At 32.4% G+C, this 23,200-nt stretch overlaps 1 protein-coding gene and 1 long non-coding RNA gene across 9 annotated transcripts in view; one reads left to right on the top strand and one right to left on the bottom strand.

Moving 5' to 3' along the window:
- PCDH9 (protocadherin 9) overlaps positions 1-23,200 on the bottom strand; it is a 927,503-nt gene that overhangs the window by 274,542 nt on the left and 629,761 nt on the right. The window lies entirely within an intron of this gene.
- The window catches only part of LOC105370247 (uncharacterized), a 99,761-nt gene that overhangs the window by 16,991 nt on the left and 59,570 nt on the right, over positions 1-23,200 (top strand). Inside the window, exons 3-5 of one of the 4 annotated variants that reach the window (XR_007063817.1) lie at positions 3,469-3,540; positions 11,835-11,960; positions 16,835-16,916. The exons of 1 other annotated variant lie outside the window; for it this stretch is intronic. This is a non-coding gene — a long non-coding RNA (uncharacterized LOC105370247). Of the gene's footprint in view, positions 1-3,468; positions 3,541-11,834; positions 12,032-16,834; positions 16,917-23,200 lie in introns of those variants that run through there. 2 more of the 4 variants (XR_001750076.2, XR_007063816.1) reach the window with 2 other exon arrangements.

Genomic DNA, 23,200 nt, shown 5'->3' on the forward strand with positions numbered 1-23,200 from the left:
CAAAGTGAATAATAAGAGCATTTTTAAAATTTAAATTTTGTTTCATTAATGACATTAAAAAATAATATCTATATTATCAATATTATATGAACTCTATATTTGGAGCACAAAATACTCATATTGAGAGAAAGCTTGTTATGCTCTGACACCTATTTTGGAGATTAGTCATTGTCCCTCGTCAGTCAGTAGCCCAGAAATACACTGCATAGGATAGATAGTTCATATCCTTATTTCTATTACTTTTGTACCCCACTCCCCGCCCCCCTAACACACACAAATTGAAATAGAAGCAGCCTGGCTTACTGATAGGAGATTGCTTTCATATTTTCTTAAGTTTTTCAGTTCCACTTGAGTTGAAGAGCCTTAGTTATTGGTTAAAAGAGGGTTTTCAGAGTTATGGATTTTAGCACTTTGACTGAGGATTCAGATGCTCAGCAAACTTGGCTAAAACCTAGAAAATGACAGATGCATGAAAAGTTGAAAAAATAGGACACATAACTGTAAGCTCAGCTGATAAACTTCTGTCAGAGATTTATTATTTCTTAAAGTGCTGATGCTGAGGGAAAGGTGGAAAAACTAATTTCTGGTCCCTTAATCACAACTACTGATTAGCTTGAAATCAAAATTAATATTTGTCTCTATGTAAAATGTATACCATATATTTATCAAGAGATGATATAGATTATCTAAAAGTTTATTTTATGTATTTTCCCTAATGTATTCAATATGCTCCATAAAGACACTTGAAGCAAGTAAAAAATATAATTTACAAAGATACTTGTAAAGTAGAAAAATTTACTCTTTCAGATAATTTGTTAGAACACTCTTCAGTATCAAGGAAAACGTCATACCTTCTAGCCTCATATTATCTTCCTATTTGAATGTGATATTTACCTACTCAGGGGAGGCTGAAGCTGTAGTGAGAGTTTTCAACAGTGAGAACTGACTTTTGAGTTGAGTATTATTCATTGTCTGACTTCAAACAAATTGTTTCATGAGCTACATTTTTTTTTTCGTCTTTAGAGTGACGATAATAGCTACCCACCCCACAGGATGGCTGAGAGGATGAAATACTTGTAGTCAGCCTACTGTAGGTCCTGGATGATCATTCTACATGTTTGTTGAGTGGGTGTAGTTTGACTCATGGGAACAGAACAACTAGAAATTTTGCTTATGATAGCAACTTCTAAAACAGTGATCTCAAATGCTTCAATTTCAGACTAGCATATTTTACAAAGAAAAGAACAAATGTACAGCACTAGAAGCTATATTGAAGTCTCCAATAGTTCATGCATTAAGTAGAAAAAAGAAAAAGTCAGGCTTTGAATGGTCCATTAAACATCTAATTTCTTGTATTTATTCTTCTGTGTAAACAATGCTAAAAACAATGATTATAACATAATGACACATAATATGAGCTAAGAAAATTAATTCAGTAGCCATTTTGGGAGCCAACTGAGTTCACCCTGTTCTCTGCCAACTAGCCACACTTTCCTCTTCCTGTGAATTTCCAGTCAGTCTTTATGCTTCTTAAATCTTTGCACATCTGAGTGATCTTTACTATCTCTGCAAGGCAAGGTAACTTGCAATTCCATCATTGACCCTATTGGAGACACACAATGTGGGCCTTTGTTTTGTTGCTGTATGAGATAAAGAAGACCTATAAATCAACCAGTAAGGACTGGGACCTGTAGAATTGTGTAATGGCCACAAAAATTGCATATGTAATGGAAGCCCCTCTATTCTACAGGTACGTGGTTCCTTAATTGCCTTGTCTGTAGTTTTGGCATGCATAATAAATAAGAAATTCTTTCTCCTAAAATTGATGTTCCTATTAGTTTTATTTTGCAGTAGTCATTAGCTACAACTAAAATATAAATATATAAATCAAAATAAGTGTTACATAATGGAGATAATAAAATCTACTACATAAAATGACTTCATATAAATATACTGAAGTATATCAGCAGCTAAAATGCTAAACTTCGAACTGGAAAAATATTGCAACAGGGACAAGCAATGTTAAATTATTACCAAACAAAATAGTGCCACATTAATTTGTTGAAGGTCAAAAACATGAATAGGAAAATGACTGCTATGAGAAATATATTCCAATGGTAGAAAAATGGATTTTCGATGCTGACAATTTTGCTGTGAGCCTGGATATCTGATACCACGGTGTGATGGAGAAAAGAAGAGGTGAAAGAAAACTACCAATAGCAATCATTGTGGCAATAAAATTATAGTAAAAAATGGTCATATAAGTCAGTTAGATTAGACATATGTATGTATACCCATCCAATAAAAAGATTTGAAGTGGCTTGATTGTCTAAATGAGTATACTAAAATAGTGTCAGGCACACAGTAGGCTCTTAAATATCTGAGGAGAAAAAGAAGGATAAAAGGTAGCAAGGAAGGAAACATGATAAAGGTAGAATTCATCTCAGATCTATTTGACAAAACTAGTGTTCTTAACTATTAAGTTAGAAAGAAGTAATCTTCAAAGACCCCTCACTGGAGCACATTAAGTGAGCTGATACTGGAGATAATTTCAAAAGCCCAGGTAATATTTTCAGAGTCAAAATTAGATTTATACCATAAAAAGATTTTTGAAGATGTTCAAATACCTTTCTTTTATATATGTCTTTGATCTCTTAAGTTTCCAGGAGCAATAGGATATATACATCTCTAAAGATTATAGATTCAAGTCTAATATAAATATGTTAGTGTTAGAGTAAATGAATATTTTAATTAAAAGTTAATAAATAATTTCCTATAGTATCTGTATACAAACTTTGTATTTTCTTTACCCCATGTACATCTAACCAAATATTCTCTTATAATTATGTATCAACTTAAAACATCTTTGTTAAAATATTTGTCTCTTTTCTAAGAACTATTGGCATATACAACTATTTATTTTGAGATTATTTTCTTACTAGGTTGTTTGAGGCCTAGGATCTAGTGTTATATTCAGTTTTCTATCCTCGATACCTATCATTCTGTCTGGCACCTGGGAAATTGCCAATAAATGCTTGTTAAATAAGTATATGTCTGTTATCAGCATAAATGCATGTGTAGAAAGTCATTAAACCTTGAATGAAGTGCCTAATATTGTCAAATGCTAAGAAATATGGAGTGGGGTAGTGTGGGAGTATTTGTCAATGGTATGGACATCTTTCTGGGGTGATAAAACTGTTGTACAGTCATTAACACTATCAACTTTAGAACATTTTTATCACCCCAAAAAGATGTCCTTACCATTGACAAATACTTCCCACCACCACCCCACACTGTACAGCTTAGCATTTAACAATATTAGGCACTTCATTCAAAAAGCCATAGAAACGTACACTTTAAATGAGTGTATCTTATGATAAGCAAATATATGTTTCAAAATTGTTAAAAAGACAATAAGCTCAATAATTGCCACAATAATTTTGACAATTCTTCCCCCATCCATGCAAGCTGATGTCAAAAATAACTGAGAACAATCTGAACAGGAGAGGAAGATAGAAGTAACTATGAAAGATTACAGAGGTGGGTGTCTTCTTAATGCTGAACATGGCGTTATTTCTAGCCACGGTGGTGGTCAGCAACTCTGATCTATAGGCTACAGCCTCTCCAAATTTTATTTCCACTGATATCCTTTCATTTATGAAGCTGTAATTCTTACATTAAAGTCTTTACACCCATTTTTGAAAATGCTATGAGAGCTACTAAACTTTACCATAAAATGAGGAATGCCTCACATTTGTCACAAATAGAAACCATGAAATGGTAATTTTTGAATTCCAGACAACAAAACATTGTAAATAGATTATGTCTGAAAAATGCTTTAGCTTACTACAACAAATTTTAAAAAGCAAATCAAAGTTTTAAAACTTTAAAACTTTATTGTCACTGGCAACTCAGTATCATTCTATGGATGAGCTAAAATAAGCCTTAAGATAGCATAATTATTAAACCAGACCATATTTTGCTATGTGAAGGTTTCTTGCAATACTGGGTAGTGAATAATAAGGAGATTAACATTAAACACACCATCTGTTGTGCGTTTTTTGTCTCAAAGAAGATGCACAGCAAAAGTGAATTCCCTGAAGTACAATGTTATCAGAGATGCTTTTAATTATAGTATTTATTCCTTTTCCTCACAAGAACAAACTTACATTGGAAGGGAGAATGCAGACAAAAGATGGGTAAAAGGAAGGACGTTACTTCAAACTTAAAAACAAAAAGTTTTCTTCATGAAGCAGAATCATTTAATTACTCTAAGATTTCCTGAAAGGATTTCAATTTCATCCACAAAAATTGAATTATATCCATGTGTGCCCAAGAAATGAAGTGTGCCAGGTGCTGCTGTAAAAACAAGCAACTCAATGGCAGTCCCCATTTCTTTCTTCAGTTTCTTTGTGGTTCAATTGCCTACCACTGGAAGCTGTGCCTCAGAGATCTACATAATAATACAAAACTTATACCGTCCACCAGTCATCCTATTTAGATCTTGAAAAATGTACCTCATCTAGTCAGCATAATGACTATTCATATGGATATGGAACACAGGATCTGCTAATCTATTTCTCTTCACGTCTTTGTCCCTTTTCAGTTTAGAACTTAAATCTTCCTCTGGAAAGCCAATGAGAATCCCATACTTCATGATATCATTCTGGGTAATGTCTTGAGACCAAAGTGTATATCATTACACACCTAACCTATCATAATGAGATAGAAAAGTACTCTTATTTTTATTAAGAAGGACAGAAATTGCATTCTGTTCTCTTAAAAAATAATAATTTTGGCTTACCTTTGGAATTTCACACTGTTATATTCCATATTAGAAGAATAGATTATGTCTTTACTAGATAGCACCCATGCTAAGAATAATCTGGATAAGGTAAAATGTTGTTAAGTCATTTAAGCAATTATCCTGATATTTCACTCATCTCAAAAAGCTATTCATTTCACATTAAAGATAAAACAATGTCGGGCATGGTGGCCTGTAATCCCAGCACTTTGGGAGGTCAAGGCAGGAGGACCAATTGAGGTCAGGAGTTCAACACCAGCCTGGACAACATGGCAAAACCCTTTCTCTACTAAAAATACAAAAATTAACCTTGTGTGGTGTTGTACACCTGTAGTCCCAGCTACTTGAGAGGCTGAGGCAGGAGGATCACCTGAGCCTGGGAGGTGGAGGTTGCAGTGAGCCAACATCACGCCACTGCACTCCAGCTGGGTGACAGAGTGAGACCCTGTCTCAAACAAATGAATAAATAAATAAATAAAACAGATAAAATATTAACGAGTTGACTGATATTGCTACTTCAAGAGAGCCTTGTTCTTTTAACATTTCTTTATATGAAAGATATCCTTGTGTGAACTCCTACATTCAGTGTAATTACTTTAGATTATATTTCATAAGCATTTCCAATGCTGAAGGTACTATGAAGTCCAGTGTCTTGTCAGACTATGACTCTTTGGTCAACACTACCTAAATAGTATGGAGGGATAAACAATAAATAGACAACTACATTTGAAATCGTGAATATAAATCCTCTATTTACTCTCCACCCAAACACATGATTATCTCTCATCTGGTTTAGATTCCTCCTTTTATCTGAACCCCTCTACCACGTTTAGTAGTCTTTTAGACCTCATTTACATTTTGTCCTCTGCTAAATAAGATCCACACATGGGCATAAGAATGCTCTTGAAATTGTATGTGCATGCTTTTTTTTTTTTTTTAATGCATTGGTTCATTTTGGCGTCATGAACTATTTGCATAATGTGATTAAAGAAATGAATATCCTCTTCAGGAAAAAAATGCATATATACATTTAATAAAATAAATAAATGCATAAAGGTCATCCGCCTACAACATCATGTTCATTTTAACTTACTCGATTATAATTTCTTACCACTTGATTATCTACTCAATGTTTAAGAATAAAACTCTTAGGCTGGGCATGGTGGCTCACGCCTGTAATCCCAGCACTTCAGGAGGCTGAGGCAGGTGGATCACGAGGTCAGGAGATTGAGATCATCCTGGCTAACACAGTGAAAACCTGTCTCTACTAAAAATACAAAAAATTGGCTGGGCTTGGGGGGACGCGCCTATAGTCCCAGCTACTCGGGAGGCTGAGGTAGGAGAGCCACTTGAATTCCGGCGGGGCGGAAGTTACAGTGCGCTGAGATCCCGCCACTGTACTCCAGTCTGGGTGACAGAGTGAGACTCCCTCTCAAAAAAAAAAAAAGAATAAAACTCTTTGAAATAGTTTGTTATTTCTTGTTCTATTTAATCATGTTCTCTGTTTAGCAAGAAATTATGCTGTTTAGGTAAGAAATACTCCACGGAAAAGCGTAAGAATGCTACTTCCACTGTGAAACAAACATAATTTTTGTAAGAAGATTTTTTGTTTCTTCATTTTATGGAACAGAGAAATATAACTTCTTGCTAACTGTTCCAAGAGTTTAAAATGGTGGCCAACAGAAATACTATCATTATCATTTTTTTAATCTGCAGCTCACTACATGTAGGTTATACAGATGTTGTGAGCTGATGTTACCATTTACATAGTCAAACTATAATTTGGCCTTTCCTGCTTTGTGTATGTTTTCTCTCATGTAAAAAGCCCAAAACCTACGCCTCACAAGTAAGATTACATCCAAACCCATTGCAGACACTTTGATTGTTTGAGAGAACCCAGTCAGGTAGTATGTTGTGTTGTGTTTGATTTGAGTCAATGGCTTTGCAAGGAACTAAAAACATCTGGCTAATTTTTTAGTTTATCAAAGGATTGTGATTCGGTTATTAGATACAGTAGAAACTTGTGGTTAAGGAAAAGGGATACCCTCACTTTATGATCTATATCTTACAAGTTTTATATCATATTAATAGAACGCACTGAATCACAGTGCAATATCTCAAAGCAATCCGAATAAAATATATACTCAACGGAATGATTTTTGAGTACAGAATTAATCATTGAGTACAGAATTTCTCACAAAAGCACCAATTCCAAGATTGACACTAAATATTACTGCTAACAACAACCTAGGCATTTTATTTTGCTTACAAGTTTCCTAAAGTTGCTAAAATATTGAACAAAGTCGATAAACATTAGATATTGTCACCGTGCAATCCTTAAATAAGTGATTCATTTAAGTTTCAGTTACTTCAAGATCAATGGATTCATTATGCCGCTATAACATTTATTTAAACCCAAATATATATTTTTCTAGATCATTTCGAACTCTGGAAAAATATAATTTAAATACTTTTACAGTAGTCTTCATCATATTAAAGCCTGTCAAAATATGTGACTAGTAATTCAAACAGCATTTATTTAACTCCAAATATATACAAGGAATGGTAGTTGATAGAGGAAGGAATGAAATATAGTTACTGGCCTGTAGAGGCTCACGATGGAAATGGGAGGCAGTTTTTTAAGTGCTAAGAAGCACCTATCTTAAGAATATGAGGTGAAGAGTTTAATTGAAACTAGCAATAAGCAAAGAACAGTGCGAAAAGAAGGTGGTATTTAAAATGTAGATTTAAAAAAATCTGTTATGTAAGGAAAGTGATACGGTCATCCCAGTTACAGAAAATTGTTTGTAGAAAGGCATATGATTAGAAAAACAAAGGCATATGATTGGGGGTAGGGGGTAGGATAGAATTAGAAATTTGAGGGACTGAGGTATGGGGGTTCATATTCAGAGAGTGCACCAAGAACTACAAAATATTGAGTAGGAAATTTGATGGTAAGAAAGTGCTGTTAAGATATCATAGGCATGTGACCTGTGGTGCATGCATTTATTTATTTTATTAAATGCATATATGCATTATTTTTCTGAAGAGAATTTTTATTTCCTGTATGAGACACATAAAAATAGAAAATTCTCTTTGTACTATATAAAGTTTTGATTATCTGTGAGAAATTGAAACTAGTTAGGTAGTTTTTCAATATAGCTAGTACCTTTACCATCCCCCCCAAAAAATCTGACGCAATTAAAATTAATGTAAAGGTATATCTCCCCTTATTTTTAACAGATTCTTATCTCTGCATTCCTGAGCAAACCTCCTGAATAAGTGAGATTCATCAAGTCTCCTTCTTGCCTTATCAATCTATTTTTTTAAAGTAAAATATGTTGCTTTAAAAATATTATATCTCTTCATTTAAGAACTTAAAAAATATTTCAGCAATCAGATCCCTTAACGCATTCCCCAGTATTCATTATTTTATCTTAAAAATAGTTGCATTGTCATAAAATGAAAATCTAATGACACTAACACTAGGCAGAAAACTTGATGATAACCTCACTTATTCTGTCAGAGAACCTCAGGAGTGGCCTGTGATGACACTGGTCTTTTTCTTTCTTTCTTTCTTTTCTTCTCTTTTAAAGGACTAGCAATTACATTGGACTGTATTGCGGTGTGCAGAGGTGAACAAATGATCTTAGAATAAGAATATATGACCAACAAATTCAGTTTCAGTTTTGACCTAAGACAAAGAGACAAAAAGTGGTCTTTTGTGGTCAACCCTCTGCATTTCAAGCAGAGCCCATTAAATGAGTGATTTATCTTGGGTCAAGACTATTGGGTTAGCACATTATATCTCTGTGAGATAAGCTTGCTCCATTTCAACCCACATCAAACAAAGACCTTATTTAAAAGTTCTAGCTATGAGACAGGAGCAAGGGAAAGCATTCACAACTGAGAGTGAGAGGATACCCTTGTTAACTAAATGATGGCTTAATAGCTTTATTTAGATTATTCAATAGATTCAGGGAGAAATGAGTATAAATAAATTAAAAGTAGGGAAAGTATCAGCATAATGACAGATTAATGACACAATATTTGCAAAACAAAATAATCAGTGATCCAAAGTAATGCTATATAATAGATGCACACATAGAGAGAGAGATACATTAAATAAAATTTAAAATTTAGAAATTAATTATAGATTGTTTATTTTAATTGATTCTAATTTTCAATCCAAGCAATGGTTTTTTGAAGAAAGTAATGATGTGACATTATATGCATTCCTGAGAAAAGATCTAAGTGTGCACCTATTTGCCTTTGCAGCAAGATCAGATGAGATCTGGGCTCAGCTGTTATGGCTAGAATGGTTGGGGCGCTCTTCCTCCAGGAGGCTAGCCCAGGCTGCTTGGTACAGAAGTCTCAAGGTTCACAGCAACAAACAGAGCAAAATCCAATGTAAAAACACTTTTCAAACCTCTGCTGACACCACATTTGTTAACACATAATTGGCCCGAGGAAGGGAAATGACACTCCTAGATAGATTGTGTGGTGAAATATATTTCACCACTAGACAAGAGGAGTTGCAAACTACTGACACATCAAAAAACCCTACTGTAATACTATTATTACACAATATGCTCATGACTTAAAATTTTAGGTGGCAAACGTGGAAATAAATTCAAAGTTCCTGGTTAACATAATCTGTTATTTCTAAAAATAGATTTTAAACAACCTCTCATCTCATCATGAGTATCAACACTTTTGTTGTTGTAAAAGTAAGTAGATTTTATTGACTGAAACACTACTAATTCCCTGACCATATGAATGTAACTTATTAGCAGGAAAAATGAAAATAAAATTAATATATTATCACTGCGAGTACGGCACCCGTCAGCTGGGCACGGTAATACCAGCACTTTAGGAGGCCAAAGCAAGAAGATCACTTGAGCCCATGAGTTCCAGACGAGCCTGGGCAACATAGTGAGACCTTGTCTCTACAAAAAATATTTGAAAATTAGCTGGGCATGGTGGCAAAAAACTCTAGTCCCAACTACTCAGGAGACTGAAGTAAGAGGATCCCTTGAGCCCACAGGGTTGAGGCTACAGTGAGACATGATTGGACCACTGTACTCCACTGTGGGAAACAGAGTGAGACCCTGTCTCAAACAAAACAAAACAAAACAAAACAAAAAGACTATGGTATAAATCAAGTCTTTGGTTGACACAAACATACAAACAAAAAGAACATCATATTAAATAGAAAAAAAAAGATCTTAGATCTCATCTTCATTAGCTACCATCTTCTGAGCAATTATATAAGGAAAATCTGAAGGCAATGTTGTGTTAGCACTCTAAAGGTAAACCACCTTCAGTAACCATGAAATTTATTTAGCTGCTGTCATCACTACATGCTTCCAGCTAGGAGAACATCAATGTCTGTTTTCAGAGCTCTCAACCCCAGTTATTTATCAGAATTGGCAGATGGATGGCCTAGTGCTATGTGAAAGTAGCTTCCTGAAAATACAGTACTCTGTGTGTATGTGGGGTTCAGGTTTCTAAGATCGTCAGAGGTAGACTTCCTGAATCACTTCCTAAATGATCTTTTTTCATGGGAATGAATGGTTCAGCAATACAACAGAAGTGAACTTGCAGGATTATTAAAAAAAAAAAAAAGAAAGTTTTGGAGATTATAAAATCATTCATGAAACAAACTTTCAAACCAAATAAAATATTGCCCAAAGAATCAAGAATGCTAAACAGGTAGAGGATAATAATTCATGAACTTTCACATCTTTAGTGGACCTCATGCTTTTGGTTGAATGTCGCTCACCTCTAAGATATCTCTGCTGCTCCCTCCCTCTTGCAGCTATCTTGTTCTTTGATATTCTGGGAGACTGGGTAAAGGAAGAGAAAAACTGACCATAACCTCTTCACTTTTTCTTTACAATAACTTTGTAAAAAATCATTTCTAGCTTGACAGAATTTCCCTGTGGCATTGGGCCACCTTCACATAGACATCTATAATTTTTCTCCTGCTTGAAACAATCTCCTACATGCCACTCTTGTTAATGACGGAGATACCCCCTGATGGTGCTTAACATTTAATAGTGCTAGAGCTCCAGATTTACCCAAACAACCTTTTCCATTTACCTTACCTCAAAGGCCTTCTAATTTTTCTTCAGAGACAGAAATCCTTTAAGACCATTGTATCCTTAGGCTACAAATTTACTGAGATTTAGGTTTCCAATAAGAGCGTTGAGATGAATGCCACCATCTCATTTATGAATCAATTTTTGCCCATCGGCTTTTTACTGTTATTACTTTTTATTTTATTTTGCACTCAAAGGAGAGAACGTCATATATATATATATATATGTATGTATATACACACACACACATATATATGCACACTTCATATGTTTAAACTTTTGAAAATTTACATAAAATTAAAATCAGTGCACAAGGAAATTTCTAAATAATTTTTTTTCCCTACAATCTATTATACCTTGTCATTCATTTCTATGTTCACTGGAGAAAGGCATTCAGGATAAAATTCCTGAGGATTACATTTAGAGCTGTTAAACAAGTTCTTTTCTTGAAGATAATTCATGAAATGCAATATAGCTGACAGTATGATATATGCCATGTAATTGCATGGCTTGGGGTTCTAATGCAGTGTGTTGAAGTTAAAAAAAAAAACTACAGATAAAAATTCCATTTTTTCAGGGGAATTACAACTCCATTATTACGAGAACTTTTTAAAAATTTCATTTTTTTACAAAAAAAGAACAGAAAAAAGTGAAGTTTTAAGTTCCTTAGTAATCAATATTTCTGAAGGATTTCCCATTTTCCCTTTGACTTTTGTTGTTTTCAGATGTATATGTTATATAAAATGTTCCCTTTTACCTAAGCCAAAATGTTGCTTTAGTCGTTGGTTATCTCTCAACTAGTTCCAAAAGAAAATTAAATATGTCCTATTCTTTAAACCCAACTAATTGAAGAGTTACTGTATGTATGCCTTATAAATAAAATGTTTCCGTACCTACATAACTTCTAATCATGCTTATATTTACAGATTAGAAAGAGCCACTGTACTTGAAAGAAAGCAATCATCTCTGAGAGCTCTTCAATTACAACGAAATTGTCAGCTAGATAGAAGGAATTAATACTAGTGTTTGATACCACCTTACGATGACTATAGGTAACAAAAATACATGATTTAGTTTAATATAGCTTGAAGGAGGATATATTTATGATGATGAATATGCTAATTACCCCGATCTGATCATTCTATTTTATATGTAGCAAAACCTTGCCCTGTACTCAGTAAATATACACAATTATTGTGGATCAGTAAAGAAAATAAAATGCAATTAGAAAGTATAGAGCGGAATCTCATGAATATTAAAATATTAATTACAAAATAGCTATATGGGATAGTCATATAAGATGGCATAACTTGAAAACCAGAGTTCCATTGATTCCCTCAAGGCTCCTAAGTGCCTGGGAGTTATTTGGAGAGGTAGGGATGCTGGTGATGTGGGAGCAGCGATGAATCCTTCCAGGGTGGGCAACAGGCTGAACTCTGGCTCTCTTATCCTATTTTCAACTATAACAGCTGTTTTATATTCCAAATAATACTGCAGTTGATTGAAAAGTCCTCTAATTTAAGAAATTAAGAGTTTGAGAATACATATTATAGTTAAATGAAATAACTTTATATCTGGTGAGATTGTGATTGCAGAAATTTCACACAGATATTAATAAGAAGAAATTTTTTCTTTTAAATATTAGTATTCAAATTATTCCATGTGGTTCTATAAAAGTATAATTTTTTAAAAGTATGATTTAATGAGAAGGCAGAATCCAATATATTATGTCATGTCATGAACCAATTGGCTGCCTTATTGGCCAAAATAAAAGCAGAGTGTTATGGATTTTGTGCACACAAAGTTTCATCATCTAATGGGAAAAATACGGAGAACCCTAACAAAATTAATTCTCAGTCTGTTCCCATAGATATCATGTAAATTTGTTTCATGTTGTTTTAAGGTTTCCTATTTTTATGCATTTATATAGGTTAGTATGATTTAAACTAACGAATCAACCAAACAAAATTGATGGCAATTGTATTCCAGAGTGACAATTTAAGTACCATGAGATAATGTTCATATTGAGGCTTTGATAAGAAATTCTTAAGTTTATAAAAAGCTCTTAACATGATTAATAACTCCAACTAATATTCTAAATATATTAAATATAATAAACATGAGACAAAGTCTTTTTCAAAGTTATCTAAGTTCATGTTAAACTATGAATTGGTTGGTACACAACCAAATGAAAATTAGATTCTGCATATAAAATAATAACTTTCTGGGACAAAAAATCCACATGCTATTTAGCAGGGAATGAAGGTCCTTTCAAGGAAATATAGATCTAATCTGTGTTTACCATTTTCAGAAAATGACTGGAAGTTAAGCTAATTGTAACATAACACTGTTTGTTGAAACTTGTTCTCAGTGTTTGCTTTTGATATTTATTGCACAGGTATAGTATAGGTTGAAAACAATGTTTCTTAAAATTCACTTTTCTAGCTCACACTCAGAAATCCTAAAACTAAGTACAAAAGAGTAAGTGCACGTCTTTAACTCCCTAGACTTAAAAAATTTGTATTTTCTTTATATATAGCTCTATTTCTCCATTTACATCCTCATATTGATTTATTCTCTTCTTTCATTAAATATATAACAATAGCATATATAATTTAACACAAAGTTTTCTTTCTTTTAAATATCAGTATCCAAATAAACCCAAAACATGTGGTTCTGTAAAAATATGATTTTAAAAGAAATATAGAATTACAACAAGACTCTAGACAATCTTTACTTGATGTTTAAAAATATGTACTTCACTTCTTTATTATTTAATGTTTCAAGTTAATGTTAGTCTATAATAACAAAACAGAAGTTTGTTTTCTATATTTGTTTCAGTTAAAACGTTCTATGGGAATTTTGTATTTATGTCCCAAAGGAGGCATCAATTCATAATTCAATTTTTGTCTTTGAATAATTTTGATATTAGACCTAGTTTATTGTTTTGCACATAATAAACCAGTGATATATTGGTTTACACAGAATCTCATACACTTTATGCAGCTGTTTTCATGCCAATATTTTGTAAATACATGATCTAAATAAAATATATTTCTCATTCAAATCTGGATTTTTCTAATACTGCATTTATCTTAAGATAAATCACATTAAAGGTATAGCAGTATGGAAAATAAAGCCAATATAAACCAAAATTTACACATAGATGGTAACTATCTAAAAAAAAAACAAAAAAAAAAGCTAAGAGCAAAAATCTCACTTTAGGAGTCTTATCAAGTAGTGTGATTTACTGCAATACAGAAAGCAGCCAAATTAAACAGAAATCAATTAGCATGTAACAAGTAATGATCAGCTATGATTTAAGCTTCAAGGAAAGATGAGTTGACTCAGACAGAATAACAATTGGCCTAGAACATATTTTAATTTGTAATTATCTGACAACAATGAATTTTGAATAAGCCATTAAAAAAAACCTCTGCAATGCTTATAGGATTTAAAATACTGAAATAGTATAAAATTCTAAGAGTTTAGTTATCTTAATATAAAGTGTTGCAGGTTGGGAGGGGGGGCTCATTCTGCAAGGAAAACAAGATGATAAAATAATTTAGAATATTAAATTATCTGCATAATTTAAACATTACATTATAACATTACAAGTAAACAAAGTGTGTTCTCATGATTAATCTTGATAGAAAAGTATCCACTGAAAATATGACAAGAAAGAAAGAAAATTGAAAACATCTGCTGCTTATGTGAGGTCAACTATTTAATGAATTCTACATCACCCAGAGAGACTTTCAGGGGGTATAAATGTGATGTGAGCCTCTCTGTAGTAGTACTTATCAATATAATGAAATACAAATAAATACAATAAGATAGAGGCCTTTTTTATAACCTGAAAGTGATTGGACTAAATTCATCATTAAGAAAAGGCAAGGTTCAATCAACCAAGCAGTGCTTTGTGTTCAACAAAACAACAACAAAAAAATAGAACACAATTTCGGTTAACTAGAATTCTGGGCAGGATACATGATCAATCCCCTGCCCTTGTTAACTCAGAGATCAGTATCAAGCTTCCAATGATGGGGGGAAGAAAGGAAGAAAGGGTCTAAAATATTCTATTTCATGCTTTCCTGCCTCAATATTTAATAGTTAATTGATGGTTCAGAACTTTTCAGAGTGCAGTACTACTGAAATTTGATATATCTTTGGCTCAAGACATTAAAAGCAAAAGAAATTAACTTAATCTACATTGACAGCAGGAATATACAGTGCTTCTCAAAAACAATCGCGTTTACCTTTATTTTCTGTGATTTTTCTCTTCTAAAAATCAAGTGTAGAAGAAACATTCCATGAATTGAGGATTTTATAGTGTTTTATTCCAGATACATGTGTTTTTTACTATAACTGGTTTGTTTGAACCTTTTCTCATTTTATCTATGTTGTCTATTGTAAGGCAAATGCAGATTAACTCTCTGTAATATTAGTGTAGGAAAGTGACAATCAAACAGTTCAAAAGAACAGAACAAGGAGAAAATGACCAGAATAAAAGAAGTTATAACAATAGTTGTTTCTTCAGGGGTTAAGATTACTTTACGTGAAAATGTTTAGTAAGTGAAATGTTTAGGATAGATATAATTTAATGTCAGAGGAAAAATTTAAAACTGAAAATAACATTTTCATATAGTTGATTTTCTATGATCTTAAATACAAAATAAGCATTATTTGGACATTTATTTTCCACTCCACCTGAAGGTTAAGGATGACAGCAACAACAAAGGCCCAAGGAAAGATACAATCTGAAGAATATGGTAGACAATGAATCCTTAAATCTCTATCAATGGTTCTGTAATTTTATCTAAATTTGGAAATATTTGTTAAGAGCTGATAAAATTTCATGGTACATTTTTGGTATATGATTAGATGCAGTGCTTATACGCATCCAATGTTTACGTATAGATGCCTGATTGAAGAACATCTTCGGAGGACTATTGTCATTTTGCAAGGCAATTTTAATGGTGTTGAATTAATCAGAGCTAGATTTTCACTGTTGTATCAGAAACAAATTATCATGATATGGCTGGAAGACATGGAATGCAATGAATTGATATATGAATTTTTAAAAATAAATTCAGGAAAAGCAGATATGGAATAGATTTTCTATAATTATATATTCTTCCCCTAGAAAGTGGTTTTCATGTGGATACAGTAGTCTAAAGCTGAATAAAGATGCCACCATATTTGTAAGTGATGTTGCTTTATGACTGAGTATATATTATTCTGTATATAAAAATCATTTGTAAGAAGCAGAAAACATTAAAATACCTCGTGGTTTTTCTTATAGGAGAAAAATTTTTGACAATGGTCATAGAGCCAGAAAATCTATTTCTCCAGTACCTCAAAAGCATTAGTTAATAGTCTAATTACAAATATCTGTGGAAAACATTCTTTTTGAAGCAGGAAGGGGAAAATCTTTGCTTTTGTTTTATTTTTAAATATATGTTTGTATTTGAAAACCAAAGAGAATAAATAATTTTTCAAAGGATGAAATTGATTTGTGATTTGTAATTTGTTGTACTTTGTTAATAATTTTCTTCAACATGACATCAAATTCTTCTACACATCTGTAGAATATGTAGATAGTACTCATCAGAATTTGGAGCATGAAGAGGTTAATATTATTATATATAAAGTTTTTTTATAGTCTTTAATCATTAGTTTTTTTTCAGGAATAGTGGTGTTTTGGACAACACGTGATATGGCATAAGTGACACAGTTACTGTTTTTTAATACAACATACCACAGGACTACACAAAATATCTATTTGGAAATAGAGCTTCACTAAAGTTAAGCTAATTTAGAAGTGATGCATTGGGACAGAATATTTTTTGAAGTCAGAATAATATGACTAAGAAATGTGTTATATGAGGGCACAGAGATGAAAAAATATCCATAACATTTTCAGGAGAACAGTATTCTATTTAGCCAGCCACAACATTTGAACATCATCTTTCGAATCAAAGGCAAAAAGCAAAGAAAACCTCCAGCCATGGCCCTGTGAAAAATCATCCAGATGGAAAATTTCTGTGAAAGAAACGTGCAACTACCACTCCAATGTCTTACTTTAAGAAAAATAAACAGGTTTTGAATATAAAAATATTGATGAGCCCAGATTATAATTGACTATGATAGCCAAAATTAAGGTAACATCAGGTTACTTTTTGTTTATTTTATTTTATTTTATTTTATTTTATTTTATTTTATTTTATTTTATTTTAAGTTCTGGGGTACATGTGCAAGATGTACAGGTTTGTTAAAAAGGTAAACATGTGCCATGGTGGTTTGCTACACCTGTCAACCCATCACCTAGATATTAAGCCCAGAATGCATCAGCTATTTTTCCTAATGCTCTCCCCACCCTCCTCCATCAGGTCCCAGTGTGTGTTGTTCCCCTCCCTGTTGTGTTCTCATTGTTCAGCTCCAACTTATAAATGAGAACATGTAGTGTTTGGTTTTCTGTTCCCGCATTAGTTTGCAGAGGATAATGGCTTCCAGCTTCATCCATGTCCCTGCAAAGGACATAATCTTGTTCCTTTTTATGGCTGCATAGTATTCCACAGTGTTGATTAAATAAATGATTGCAGCTTTGATCTTTTAAGGACAAATTAAAATGACAAATAAGAGGCTTAATGTTGAAAGTAACGGAAGAGCTACTCCTCCCCTTCTTTTTCTTAGAGCATTTACTCAAAAAAAAAAAAAAAACTTAAAATCCTAAGTCCTTTTTCTTTTCCCTCTCTAAAATAAGTGCACACACACACACAAACACACACATTTTTTTGAAAACTATATAGGCCTCTGGAGATAGGCCTTCTGTCAGCTTAATGGCTCAGGGATGTCTTTCTCAAGAACCTGGGAACATCTCTTTGAAATGTAAACACATCAAGAGAGAAAGCATTTTTTTTTCCACTTTCTGTGGGAAGGTAGGAGCCTAACTTTTGTGGGAACCTTGCTCCAATTTGCAAACCTACCTCCTGTCATAAAGATATGAGTAGTGTGTTTATCTTCTGGACAAAATCCAATTAACCAACACACATGATCACCCCAATTGCCAGGAGAAGTTATGTTGAACTATGTGTGACAAATGGTCCTGTCAAGTTTTCTTAATTGAGGACTAATTATTGTTTATCTTGAAAACATGGGTATAATGCATTGTATATGCTTGGTTATATAAAGGGGTGAGATTTCTTTCTGTGTTTGCAGTCTCTTAGTGGATGGCTTATCATGAGCATCACATTCTAATTTAAGGCTTATTCAATTATATGTGTTTTCTTCCTCTATTGCCTTTATGAAGAGGATTTCTGATTTGTTAGAAGATTGTTTATAATTGTAATCTCTCAATAATGACAAAAGTAGCCAGAAACCAAGAATTCAGGATATTTGCACTGAGAAAAAATACGTTAACTTTTTTATTAGTAGTGGAATAAAGTAGACTTATGAATAGTCATTGGTAATCACATTCTGCATACAATATATTAACGTATAGGAATTATTGCTTCTGTAGATAAAAATGAATAAATATAAACCCTGAAAAGATTGTAAGATTCTTAGCAGATAAACACCAGCGTAAAGTAAGCGAAAAGAGAAAGACTATGACCTTTCAAAATAAACGTAAAATTTAGCATAATCTTCTAGCAGAATAGGATTTTAAAAATGCATAGAATTGTATATGAAATGCACAAGGTCAAAGACTGCATTAATAAACATTAAGAAATATTCATTTTTAATCAATAAGATCATTTAACAATAATTTGTGATAAATCATTACAAACAAAACCAGAATATATTAGATTCCCATGATTCAAAAGAAAATCACATCATTTTGATCCAATATTGAAGGTAACTAAGGAATGAAAAATTGTCTTCCATGTTCTGTAGGGATTTATTTTATTTCATGCACAACAAATGATTAATATTACATACTGTTTTGTCCAGACAGAGAAAAATTGTTATTACAGGCCTTCATTAAACTTATCTGTTCTCTGTCTCATTTCCCAACAAATGATTCTTTAATGAATACATAATCAAATTGAACAGTGTCCATTTGTTTTAGAAGAATTTTCACATTTAAAAAATAAAATCCAGAGATTAAAATAAGATGATTCCATGTAAGCTTGTGTGCATATAAATGCATATTCACACAAGTATATAAGAATGCATGTACATATATACACCCATATATGTGTAAATTTCAAACAGATGCATTATATTTTCATTTCTTCTATATGTTACACATATTGCTAGACATTTGCTATTTGAAATCTTTCTTTTTAAAATTTTACATGTGACCAACATAATTAAATGGATGCATCAAATACGAGAACGTGACAAGAAAGTTCTCTATCACTGGATCATTGTTTTAGCTTAACCATAATATGTCAAATGATCAAAAATTTCAGAAATATTTGAAATCTATATGATGTAATTCTCATATATACTTTGTAATTATTCATTGCCTTACTGGAAATTTTTTTTCATTCATTTTTCCCCAATTAACCTCTTTTATAATACAAAAAAAAAAACATGGCTTGAGTTGTTTGTGCTGTAGCTTGTGCTGTAGCAGAACATGGCTATTCTTTTTTTTTTTTTATTCTAAAAAGTTTATTGTTGTACCTTTCTCATTTAGAGTTACCACCCATCTGGAAAGTACTTTCTATGTATAGCGTTAGGTAGGGGTCATATTTCATTTTATCCACATGGATATCCAATTGACTTAGTATCATTTTCTGAAAAAAATCAATAAACCTTTTCTCATTATAATTCATTGTCATCTTTGACATTAGTCAGCTGACCATCTATGTCTTTAAAAATAAAGAACTAGTCAATGGATAGACATCCCATGTTCATGGGTTAGAAGACTCAATATTGTTAAAAATATCCACACTACCCAAAGTGATCTGCAGACCCAGAGCAATCCATTTCAAACTCTCAATGACATTTATTTACAGAAATGGAAAAAAATCCAATAATTAATAAGGTACCACAAAGGACCTTCAAAGTAGAAGCTTTATATTCCTGACTTCAAAATAAGCTACAAAGCTACACTAATCAAAACAGGATGGTACTGGCATAAAGACAGACATATGGACCAATGGAACAGAATGAAGAGCCCAGAAATAAACTCACGTATATACAGTCAAATGATCTTCAAGAGGTTGCCAAGACGACACAATGGGGAAAGGATAGTCCCTTCAACAAATGGTGCTGGGAAGACTGGACATCCACATGCAAAAGAATGAAATCAGACCCCTATCCCACATCATACACAAACATCAACTCAAGATGGAGTAAAGACTCAACAACAAGACCCGAAACCATAAAACTCCTAGATGAAAACATGGAGGAAAGCCTTTATAACATCGTTCTTGGCAGTAGTTTCCTGGATATGACACCAAAAGCATAGGCAACAAAACAAAAATAGAGAAGTGAGACTACAACAAACTAAAAGGCATCTGTTGCAGCAAAGGAAACAATCACCAGAGACAGAAGCCAACCTATGGAATGGGAGAAAATATTCGCAAACCATATATCTGATAAGAGATTGAAATCCAAAATATATAAGGAACTTATTCAACTCAGTAACAAATTTAAAAAATGGGAAAAAGTCTTGAATAGACACTTCTCCAAAAAAAAACAAAGATGCATACAAATGGCCAACAGACATATAAAACATGCCTAACATCACTAATTGTCAGAGAAATGGAAATCAAAACCACAACAAGATATCACTCCTCACCTGTCAGGATGGTCATTATTTTAAAAAAGAAATCCCCTGAAAATAACAAGTGTTGGCAACAATGTGGAGAAATTAGAACCTTTTTACACTGTTGGTGGGAATGCAAAATGGCGTGACCACTACAGAAAATGGTATGGAGTTCCTCTGCAAATTTAAAATAGAACTGTAATATGACCCAACAATCTCACTTCTGGGTATCTATCCAGAAAAATTGAATTTAAGATTTGGAAGCAATATTTAGAACATGGCTATTCTAAAGATAACCTAATTTTTTTCTTGTTTTGTTTTGTTACCTTTACATTAAATGGAAAAGTAAATATAGAGGATACACAGAAACAAAAGACAAGTTGATAGAGAATTGTTCAAATATTGTAACAGTTTATATTTAAGATTATGCTTAAGAAATTAATACATGTTTATCTTTTTTTAACTAAATGAAGTATTTGAGTCAGAAAGCTTAAAAATGGCTCAGGGAACAACCATGATAAGTGTTTTAGGGCCTTGATTTATGCAACAAGTTTAGTTTAATAAAGAGCAAAACTGCTAATCAGTGCCCACAGATATTAGATAATAAATTCAACAGGGCCAAATGGATATTTGCAGCATAGCAACTACTGGCTTAATGATTTAATTAATCTAAACATGCAAAATTTTGTGCTTGCTTAAATTTGTGCTAGCTTAAACAACTAGGGGTGTATTCATAAATTTAATATGTGTTTTAAGGGAAAAGGGAAAACTAACAGATCTTGTATAAATGCCTCCTAAGAATCTCATCAGGAACAGGAGAGAATGAGCTCATATATTTGGCCTTGCAATTATTTACCTTATATTGTTAAATTGAAATAGCTTTGATTAGTACAGTGTATCCGTAAAACTGCTCTAAAGAAAACACAGTGATAATCAAAGTAGCATATAATTAGGAGAATACTAGCTTTCCTTAGAGCTGCCCTTGTAACAATTACTTCTAGTGAATAATTTAAAATCAAGTAATTTTTTTTACATCTAACTAGAAATTTAGAGTTATTTCCTTTTTTGTAAAGCAAGCTTTATGAACATTTAGAAATATTTTATTTTAAAAGTTATGTTAATATACAGAATATATATGCATTTTATTTTCATTTAGTGTTATTTTTACTAATTGTTCATAATATAAATTGAGCTGTATATTTTACTACTTCATGTAGTTGTGAAATACAATTGCATGAGCATCCTTTAAAAAGAAATTTTTTTTCTTTGCTGTGGAAATGTAATATGTATTTGTTTTAATTGAAGAGATTTTGAATGTAAAAAACCAGATATATTTAAAATCCTGATTGAGAAATATTTAAAATCCCTAAAGATTTAGGATATCACTTAATAGGTTACTTGTAGAGCATTTGTCAAATATTAAAAGTTATTACCTGAAATGTTAATGTTTAGTTTATATTTGCAACTGTTTTTACTTTCTAAAAATTATTTAATTACATTATACATCAATTAACAACTATTTAAATCATGTACTATATTTTTAATTAATTTTTTTTTTTTGAGAGAGGGTTTTACTCTCTCACCCAGGCTAGAGTGCAGTGGCACAATCACAACTCACTGCAGCCTTGACCTCCCAGGCTCAGGTTAAATTGAAATAGCTTTGATTAGTACAGTGTATCCATACTCAGCCTCACCTCAGCCTCAGCCTCCCGAGTAGTTGAGACTACTGCCTGCCTCAGCTTCAAAAAGTGCTGAGATTGTACTCTTTTTAATTGTTTAAATGCTCTCAGTTTAGACTATATCTACTAGAGGAAAGTAATGCCAGACACAAAACTTTAAGAACTTCAAAGTTTTCTACGATTGATTTTGTCCCTAATATAATTTTCTCATAATTTTATTATGGGAGATTTCAGAATTGGGTCTCATTTTAAATGTTTAATAATGATGATCTTCTTGACTGATAGGATATTATGCTTGCAAATGGCATATTACCTTTATTATGGCACTTGTCAATTTGAGACCATATTTCATTGATATTTCCTTCTCAGTCACATATAAGCTGTCAGTAAATTTTGAATTAATAAAAGCACAAATGAATGAATGGAATATGCATTCCGGAAATAGAATTAAATATCTCCCCCTGCATCTACTTCTAATGAGTTTATTAGACAAACAGACCAAGAACTAACTATTAAAAATACTGTGTAGGCTTCCAAAGTGATTTGAATTCTGTAATATTCAACATCAAATGTAAAAATTCATGATCAGAACCATAGCTGCAGAATTCATTGTAAGACAATTCAAAACAACGTATTTTAGAACCACGAAGTCTACTGAGGAATTGTCTCACAGTTGATATTATCCAATTTTCAACTATATTTTTTCTAGAAAACAAAAAATGCTATTTTACTCTGCTAGTATTATTTTCATTGACTGTTTTTCTTGTGTTTCTAATAAGCTGACAAAACATAATACAAACTAAAAGTACATCAAGCAATTCTGTAATTATAATTTTTTTCCCTAACATTTTGCATAAGTGCATGATTTAATTGCCTCATACCAGCACTTAGG

The sequence above is a fragment of the Homo sapiens genome, chromosome 13, assembly GCF_000001405.40.
Source record: "Homo sapiens chromosome 13, GRCh38.p14 Primary Assembly".
In the NCBI taxonomy this organism is placed as follows: domain Eukaryota; kingdom Metazoa; phylum Chordata; class Mammalia; order Primates; family Hominidae; genus Homo; species Homo sapiens.